The 9,374-nt window shown below is 39.3% G+C and overlaps 1 pseudogene, besides 1 other annotated feature; it reads right to left on the bottom strand.

Moving 5' to 3' along the window:
• On the bottom strand, window positions 2,535-2,609 carry TRE-CTC14-1 (tRNA-Glu (CTC) 14-1; annotated as a pseudogene).
• Window positions 8,898-9,067: an enhancer, noted in NCBI's record as "experimental_103650 CRE fragment used in MPRA reporter constructs". NCBI's record gives its function as "activates a minimal promoter by MPRAs in K562 erythroleukemia cells, with activity observed for the non-introgressed 8:70065967 variant allele {active_cell/tissue: K562}" and the evidence as "EXISTENCE:reporter gene assay evidence [ECO:0000049][PMID:34662402]".

The raw sequence follows: 9,374 nt of genomic DNA, 5'->3' as shown, positions 1-9,374 counted from the left end.
TCTCAAGAAAAATGATGAATGAATTAATTAAGACATACCTGTGGAAACATTGTTTCTGTGCTGGCTTTGGGGGTATAGGGAGAGAATAACACTGTACTTCATTTTTGAGAACCAGAATAATGTAGTGAACAGACTGAGGAGATCTCTGCTTAAATGAAAGTGAAGACACAAGCTAGTAGAAAACAATAACAAGCAATACGATATTAAAGCTGTGCTGTCCAATATGAGTATAAGTGACAGAATATAGACCCTCCCCTTCCCTTCAACCAGCTGACTTACACAGGGCCTAAGGAGCATAATTTATTCATCCATTCCTCAATCCACAAATATTTATTGAGTTTCCACTATCTGTCAGGAAGTGTGCTGAATTCTGCATAATGATGAATATACAGAGAATGATCTCTTAACCTTGCTGCAACTGCCAAGACCTCTCCTTCCATAAAAAGAATTTAGACAATGTCAACCACTGACGTTCAAATATATACAAGCATCAGAAGGTAGGAGTAAAAAATCAAGAGAAATTTGTGGACTTTGTGGAGAGGATTCATGCTGAGGGAGAGAGGATGGTCTCGTGAACTGTCTTGGCAAAGGCTGCGAGCCGTAGGTGGGAGAAATGGTTCCAGGTTCAGACTGCGGCTGTTACATACACTTATGGTGACCCAGCTTCCCTACAGGCATGTATGCACCTGTGTATGTGTGCATCTTCCAGAACAGCCTGGGGCAAGCAGGATGTGCTGGGGCCTCCAAAATGGCCTTATATAGGAAGGAAGGAGTCCCTATTTCCCTTTCCATTTCACAGTGGAGAATGGGTAGTCATGGGAACCAGGATTGCCAGTGGGCATCAAGTCTGGGCAGTGGGCCAGGTGAGTGATGGGGAGTGGCCTCAACACCACCATGGTTGATGGGGAGGCCAACGATGAGAGCAGCTGGGGTTGAATACTCCGGACTGCAAGACAAAGGCAGAGAGGCAATGGTCAGGTGGGGTGGGAGCCTAAAGATGATGCAGGGACCTGACGCTCAGCAAATTTTGAACAACCTGAGGGCCCAAACTTGGTAGAGTTTACTTAACAAACACTGCGCTTCCAAGGCCAGGCCCTGAGGTAAACAGTCTTTAGAAATGTTAACCCATTGAATTCTCACAACACCATGTACTAAGTGCTGTTATTCCCTTCATCAACAGACAAGTAGACTGAGGCACAGGGAGGCTAAATAAGTTGCACAAGGTTCTCATTGCTAGAGATAGCAAGGTTGGGTTCAAAGACAGGCAGTATGGCCCTGGAGTCTGTGCTTTTAGCCACAGTGCTAAGCTGTCTGAAAAATAGGACTCTCTGGCCTGCAGGTTCATGTGGTCATTTGATAACTATTCCTTAAATGCTGCACTGATTGCCATTCTTGGTGCTAGGAATAAAGTAGTGAACAGACAGAGGAGATCTCAGTTTAAATGAAAGCAAGGACACAAATTGGTAGAAAACTATAACAAGCAATAAGATATTAAAGCCTTGCTGTCCAATATGATGGCCTGTGTGACTGGGAAACTGATTTTAAAATTATATTTAATTTAAATTAATTTATATTTAAATTTAAAAATTGAAAATTCAGTTTTTGGGAAAGTTTTCAGTGTATTGGAGCAACTTGGGTATGCAGGTCTATTTTTTCAATTGTAAATGTTATGAAATCTGAAGACAGATCAAGCATTTTAGAAAAAAAAGCGTCTGTATTGAGATGTGCTGTCAAGGGAAAATACACCCCAGATTTAAAGGATTTAGTAGCACATATATTATAAAATAGCTCATTAATAGTTTTTATATTGATTATCTGTTAAAATAATAATACTTTGAGGCCAGGCGTGGTGGCTCAAGCCTGTAATCCTAGCACTTTGGAAGGCAGAGGTGGGCAGATCTCTGGAGCTCAGGAGTTCAAGACCAGCCTGGGCAACATGGTGAAACGCCATTTCTACAAAAAGTACAAATATTAGCTGGGTGTGGTGGCTAGTGTCTACAGTCTCAGCTACTTGGGGAGCTGAGGCAGGAGGATTGCTTGAGCCCAGGACATCAATAAGGCTGCAGTGAGCCATGATCACACCACTGCACTCCATCCTGGGAAACAGAGTGGACCCTGTCTCCAAAAAAAATCTATCAATCTATCTATCTATCATCTATCTATCTATCTATCTATCTATCATCTACATATATATGCATACACACATATATACGTATATATGTATATTTCTTAATATATTGGGTTAAATACAATAGGCTATTAAAATTAATTTCAGCTGTTTCTTTTTTTTTTTTTTTTTTGAAACAGAGTCTCGCTCTGTCGCCCAGGCTGGAGTGCACTGGCACAATAATAGCTCACTGCATTCTTGAACTCCTGGGCTAAGTGACCCTCTGGCCTCAGTCTCTTGAAGAGCCAATACTACAGATTTGCACCACCACACCCAGCTAATTTCTTTTTAATTTCTGTTTTGTAGAGATGGGGTCTTGCTGTGTTAACCAAGCAGATCTTGAAGTCCGTAACTGAAACTTTATACCCATCTGACTCCCAGGGAATGGAACCCTGGGCTGCAGCAGTGAGAGAGGTGAATCCTAGCCACTAAACCACCAGAGAGCATCAGGCAGCTTCTTTAGACTGTGTAATTGGGCAGAGATCATAGGGATTCACTCAGAAGAAGGAATTTCTGGGGGAACAATGTACTAGGTGGAGGAGGGTAGGTACAGTGCCCTGCCTGTGAATGAAGGGAAAGAGGCACTTGCTGCCAGGCCGAGCAGGCAAGGGGCTATGATAAATGTCAGACTGGAGGGTAGGGGTCAGCTTCTAGGGCCTTGGAGGCCACAACAAAGAGTTGAGAATCCTCTTAAATGTGATGGAAGTCACTGGAGGCTTTCTAAATGGGAGAGTGTCGCAATCCGATTGATAGAGAAGGGAGACAGCAACACAAGTGAGGAGTGGTGCCTGAGCCGACTGCAGTGCGCTGTGGTATGGCTGGTTCTCCTGGATCCTGTTTTGCAGAACTAAGGGGCAGGAAAACCAGGAATCAGGGCCAGTGTCTGTCTGGAAGTCATTACTGTGTACACTGTGTGAGCTACCATAGTAGCATGTCCTTAGTTGTGGCTTCAGGCTTGTGAGGCCCTAAAATATTTGGGTTTCACTAGAATAGGATCTGGCATACATTTAATATTCAATGGGTGTTTATTGAATTAAAAATATGGACAATGACAATGACAGTGTTTCTTCCGAGAACAGGAGGCAAATTCTCATGTCGAGGTTATCCCACTTCTGATTCATCCCATTTGGGAACATTTTAGTAGTAATGTAATCAACATTAGCCCTTGGTGTGGGAACGCCACTAATGGTTACACTGGGCAAGAGGCTGAAAGCCAGAGCCTGAATTCTCCTGGCCTTGAGTTGTAGTGGATTTTCATGAGATCATATCGGTTAAACAGTAGGGGATGAGGACAAATTACGTGCTGTTGATCAAGGAGATGGAGGTGATGATGGGGATGAGTGCTGAGGAATGACAGGCTTTCAGTAGCATGGAAATGAGCACATTCACTTTTCCTTGGAAGGATGTGGCCTGGTGAGGAGGAGAAAGAATGATGTACTAGAGATCAGGAGTGCAGTCGTCAATGGCTCTTCCAATCTCTGCTGTCTGGCCTTGGGCAACCTACTTCTTTTTCTGGGCCTCTGTTGCTGGTAGGATGAACTAGTTTTCTATCTCCTTAAAATCATCAGCTGCATTCTGCCTGCACTGGCTGGACATATGAATCAAGAATTTAGTGAATACTACAATGTCAAATTTATTTCATCACTTTTCCCTCTGGACTATCAGATTGCCACATAAACCATGTCTGTCTGAAGTCTATTTGTTCTGGACAATTTACACCTTATTTGAACAAATCTTGCCAATCCAACAGCAGAAATTAATCACTAAAATTTCATAATTGCTGCAAAGTGGGTTTAACTTTACGTCCTCACAATAGGTACTAGGCTAAATGCACTCAAAACAGTCTCTGGTATGCAACCACAATATTTACTTAAGATCAAGAGAGGTAAATGGATATCCCAGAGTCTAATTACCAGCAGGATGAAAAGGAGTCACCAATCGAATCACACCTTTCTAAATTATACAGGACACTTAAATGTCACAATAGAAGGTAAAGGACAATGAACGTATGAGTGTTTGTAGTACGAATTTATTTCTCTCCACTGATATTGTCTTCATGTCAGAGGAAAGTTTGAGAAATCAGATATTTTCTAAGCTAGTTAAAATTTTAGAAACTAATATAGGGAAAACTATTTCAAGGCTGTGCCAACTCTGATTTAGTATTGCACCTTTTCTAGGCTCTCCTGAGGGGTTCTAAAAGTTTTTATGTATAAAGGTAGGATGCTAACTAAGTGTGTCATAGCAAAGGCTTGTGAGCTGTGTCCTACAAAGAAATGGTATTAGATCATTTCAGCAGAAAAACAAAGAATATATAAAGTGAAATCGTACTTATTATCCTACATGTTTTAGTCCAGAGTGCTGAAGTACTTAGGGCAAGAGCTAAAAGAATCATGTCCAAATCCCACCACAAAATTAAACCTGAATTGAGAACTGAAAAAAACAAAAACAAACAAACAAAAAAACCCCTGGCTCAGAAAGGTAAAATGTAGAATGCATTCTCTTTTAGAAAGATTCTTAAGATCTGCCTAGAAAGGGTAAGGTGAGCAGGCAAGGAGAAAGGAGACTTTTCATATTAAACAAACATGCATTCTTCTTAAAATAATATAAACATTTGAAAGTATACATCATTCATTCTTTCAACAAATATGTTGAAATTATAATACGGTAGGAAGTGTTTTAGGTGTTGGGTCCAGTTCTAGGTGTTGGATATACTGAAAAACACATAGCAGTCAATGGAGATGGATCAGATACATCCATGAGATAGTAGATTGTCTATCACAGGCCCTGTGGAATGCCTAGCATTTTTTTGAATTGTGGTAGCTCAAGAATATACAAAATGCAGTGCGCTTCTATTCCATCCAAGAGACTTATTAGCTAGCTGGGGAAGCAGGATGCATTTATACAAACAATGATAGCCTCATCCAAGACACTATATAGGCGAATGTGATAATTTGGCACAATTCATAGATCTCACATTTTGATGGCATTCAAGGCTCATTTTGCGATAGAGTTTGGTAGGAAAAGCTTCAGGAAATAAGCAAAGGTGAACCATTTCTTGAAAAAAGCAGAGAATGAAGATGATAGGTTAAAATAAAGAAGAATATTTATGAATTTGCTCTTTTTTGGAGGCCATGAGGAGCTGTCAAGGGAGCGCTATTCAGGGAGTGTTTAGAGATCTAATATGTAGTCACTCTATGAAAATTAATTAACTTTCAAAACTCCTGCCGAAGAAGCTACAGAAGCCATCTTTCTGTGTGTAAATAAGGAAGCGGTGGTGTGGAAACATTAAACACACTTGCTGGGTTTGAAAACATGATGGTCTGATGGGGCACTTGGTGTCTGCTTGGACACTGTCTCACAGTGCCACATCCCCTGCTGTGGGGGACCAAGGACTCTCTTCTCACATGTCAGATTCCCTTTAAGTTTCATTCTCCTCTCATACCGATGAAGCATTCAGTATTTGCTTTCAAGTAAATGATTTCCACATTTGCTCTTTTTTTCTCTCAAAAGATTCTCTCCATTTATTTCCTTGCCTGTACTTGTTGCTTTTCTTCAGGTCCATTAAAGTGGCACTGTTTGGTTTTGAAGACCCTTAAAGCCACAATGAGAAATGATTGAGTTTTATCCCCAGTTAAAGAAACATTCTAGTGGATATTTCTGCTATCATAATAAAGGCAGCATCTCTAATATTAGACATAGTCATTATTTTAAAACCATTATGAAGTATCTAAGTCACGCACTCAAAAGGCTAAGCATCCCAGAGTGAGTTAAACAAATTCTGCCTTCCAGAAGTACACAACTTCAAATCATCACTGAAATCATTCAGATGACAATTAGCTCATCTCTATGATATTACTGTATAATGTCAACTATTACATATTATCAGAAAAAGCAATATTTTGCAATGTGGTGTCCATAACTATACATTGTATCTTGGTTTCAGCATTCTTCATTGACAGTTGACATTAGAACTACTCAACACATTTCGTCAAACGACTACATTTAAAGCCCATTTTAAAAATTTTGCTAAGTTTCGCCCTTTCATGAAATATCTATATCCACAACTTTTCTTTGCCAGATGTATCAGCTTACATTTTTTTGTCCTGATCTCACTTTATCATAGATTTCTAATCTGATATCTCTTTAGTATATTGTTATAACATCTCTAACCTTGTTGAAATATAACAATCTTAACAAATATAAAAAGGGCCTGTTGGAGGTCAGGAGATCGAGACCATCCTGGCTAACACGGTGAAACCCCGTCTCTACTAAAAATACAAAAAAATTTAGCCGGGCGCCTGTAATCCCAGCTACTCGGGAGGCTGAGGCAGGAGAATGGTGTGAACCCGGGAGGCGGAGCTTGCAGTGAGTCGAGATTTCGTCACTGCACTCCAGCCTGGGTGATGGAGCAAGACTGCGTCTCAAAAAAAAAAAAAAAAAAAAAGGGCCTGTTGGTAGATTACTCACAAATTTGTACATTATTACATAGTAAACATACTTAATTCTTTCTTCGAGTGGAAAAAAGTGACCCTCCCTTTATGAATTTACTCTCCAACTTTTTTGAACCTGCAACCTAACATTCACTGAGGTTCAAAAATTGGTAATAGTTTTGAGAACTTCAGTCCAATGTCTCTGGGAATAAGGAAATCCACAGTTATTATCTAGCAATACTGTTACAAAGCTGAAAATGACAAAATTAGGGATAGTATTTAGAGATGGGTATTGCATTTGGTGTATATAAGAGAATGTGGGCATATGTTTATGTGTGTATACATACATACATGCATATATAAATACATATACATATATGTTCACATGCATATATATCATCAGCCTTCTTACAATAAAACTGTGAAAAGAAAGAGGAGAGTCAGGAGAGATAAGAGAATGAAAAGAAGAAAAAAAGAGGTAGAGTTTAAGGCGCAGTAGTGATAGCTTTTAGAAATGGCAATGAGAGAATGAGGACAAGTCAGAATAGTCACAAACAGGGCCAGAGGCAAAAAGAAAACACAGAACTGCTGTATGCATTTGAAAACAAAGATGGCTGTGAAAGGATTATCTGCACTTCAATTGTCCTTGAAGGCACCATCATGGCAGAAAAAAACAAAAAACAGAAAGCAAAGCAAGGCCCACTAGGACTTCAGTAGCTCTCTAGGGCCTGGCTGGCTCTCAGCCACCCTAGACTCCAGGGTAAGTGTAATTTATTTCTTATCAATGTGCTTGCTGGAGGCACAACAGGCAGTAAAACAGCATAAAAAGAAAAGAAGCAAAAAGAAACTGAAAAAATAAGGTACAAAAAGAAGTACTGTAAATAGTAAAATGAGTTTCTTTTATTTTAAGGTAGGTGTGGTGCAGCAAAGCACAATAAAATATTATAGACTATTATCTTAATGGAAGCATTTAGACAATTAGCAGAATATCTATATATCAGTATCTATTACTGATATATCTCAAGTCATATTGAGATAAAAAGTAAAAACAAATTTAGATTGATCTACTCCAGGTATTGTTCATCAGTAACACATGAGGATTTTGTTTACTTGCAATATTTTACTCTGTCTTCCCCCACTATTGTTTCGTTTCTTCTTCAGTAACTTTAGTAACTTCGATAAAGTTAAATCTCTACTTCTTATATTGTCAACTTTCCTCAGTATCCTTTGATACAGTTTATTATTGCATTGCCTTTATCTTCATCTCTTCTTTCATTCCCATTTCCAGGTCTCAAATTTTGCCAGTTGTACTTTTATTGCACAATTGTGAGCACTGTTATATTGAGTTTTGTAACCATAAGCAAATCTATGTGTTTACAGGTTGATCTTGAAAAGTGAATCAATAGTGCTTACATTATCATGAATATGGATATATTTTTCTTTGCTCAGTGAAGTACTGTTCTAAAACTTAAGAGAGAAAGATAAAAGGATTTATAAAGGGGGAAAAAAGGGAAATCTTGATGGATCAGTATGATATTAGGTCAATTACCTTGTATAATATCAAGACTCAGAAGGGCAATCATTAAAATTCTTCTCAGACTCCATGTCATTCATCTAAGGCTTTTAAAAAGAGCTATATCCATCACTTGCCTACATTAGAGCTCTGGAGTTTTACAGCAGTGATTCTCAGGAAGATGAGGATGTTTTTAAATTGCCATCAGGCTTATTTTAAAAGGCAGAATATTTTAGCTAACTATGTTTATTTTCCAGAGAATGGATTTAGTGCTTCTAATTGAGATAGTATTTAAAAAGACTTGATATATTATAGGTCATAAAAACTGTGAAGAATAATACTAAAGCACATTAATGTGGCTTTTTCAAACAATGGATTTCTGAACACCATTTTAGGGTTGAAGCAATGGCTGGAGTTTAGCCGTGCTTGCATCTAGGCAGGCACCAGAGAATAGTGGGAAGAGCCGATGAGTGTAAGCAGAAGGGAGGGGAGAGGTCAGCTTTTCTTTCCTGGCCTGGACTTTATGCTCCACTAAGAGAAAGGTTTGGCTGTGTCCCCACCCAAATCTCATCTTGAATTGTAGCTCCCATAATCCCCACGTGTCGTGCTAGGGAACTGGTGGGAGGTAATTGAATCACGGGGGCAGGTTTCTCCCCTCCCGTTCTCATGATCGTGAATAAGTCTCACGAGATCTGATGGTTTCATAAAGGGCAGTTCCCCTGCATAAGTTCTCTTGCCTGCTACCATGTAAGACGTGTCTTTGGTCATCCATTGCCTTCCACCATGCTTGTGAGGCCTCCCCAGCCATGTGGAACTGTGAGTCCCCTAAACCTCTTTTTCTTTGTAAATTACCCAGTCTCGAGTATTTCTTTATAGCAGTATGAAAATGGACTAATACACCGTGATAACAGAATAAATTCATTATCCCTCAAAGTCATTGCACCTTTGCTTTTTTGTTTATAGAGAGTAAACTAGTGCATGCAAAAAGACCTTTTTCTCTGTTTTTTTTTTTTTTAATCTTTTTGTAGTTTCGGATTAATGTTCTCTAATATCCTCTGGTTTCCTGCCTCACTCATACAGCTATTTCTGAGGAAAGTTGATCACATGGTTAACCAAGCTGGCCACAGCTGATCAGATAAAGAGTGGGTACCAATATGCATCACAATTGGGATCTCGGGTGCAAGTCAGATAAATTGCTAACTTATAAGAAAAGATATTTTGGAGGGAGCAGATAATTGGAAAGCTCATAGGATTTACGGGAAGC

Source organism: Homo sapiens, chromosome 8 (genome assembly GCF_000001405.40).
Source record: "Homo sapiens chromosome 8, GRCh38.p14 Primary Assembly".
Lineage (NCBI taxonomy): Eukaryota > Metazoa > Chordata > Mammalia > Primates > Hominidae > Homo > Homo sapiens.
Note: the sequence above shows the minus strand (reverse complement) of the source record. Positions and strands in the feature narration are given on the sequence as shown.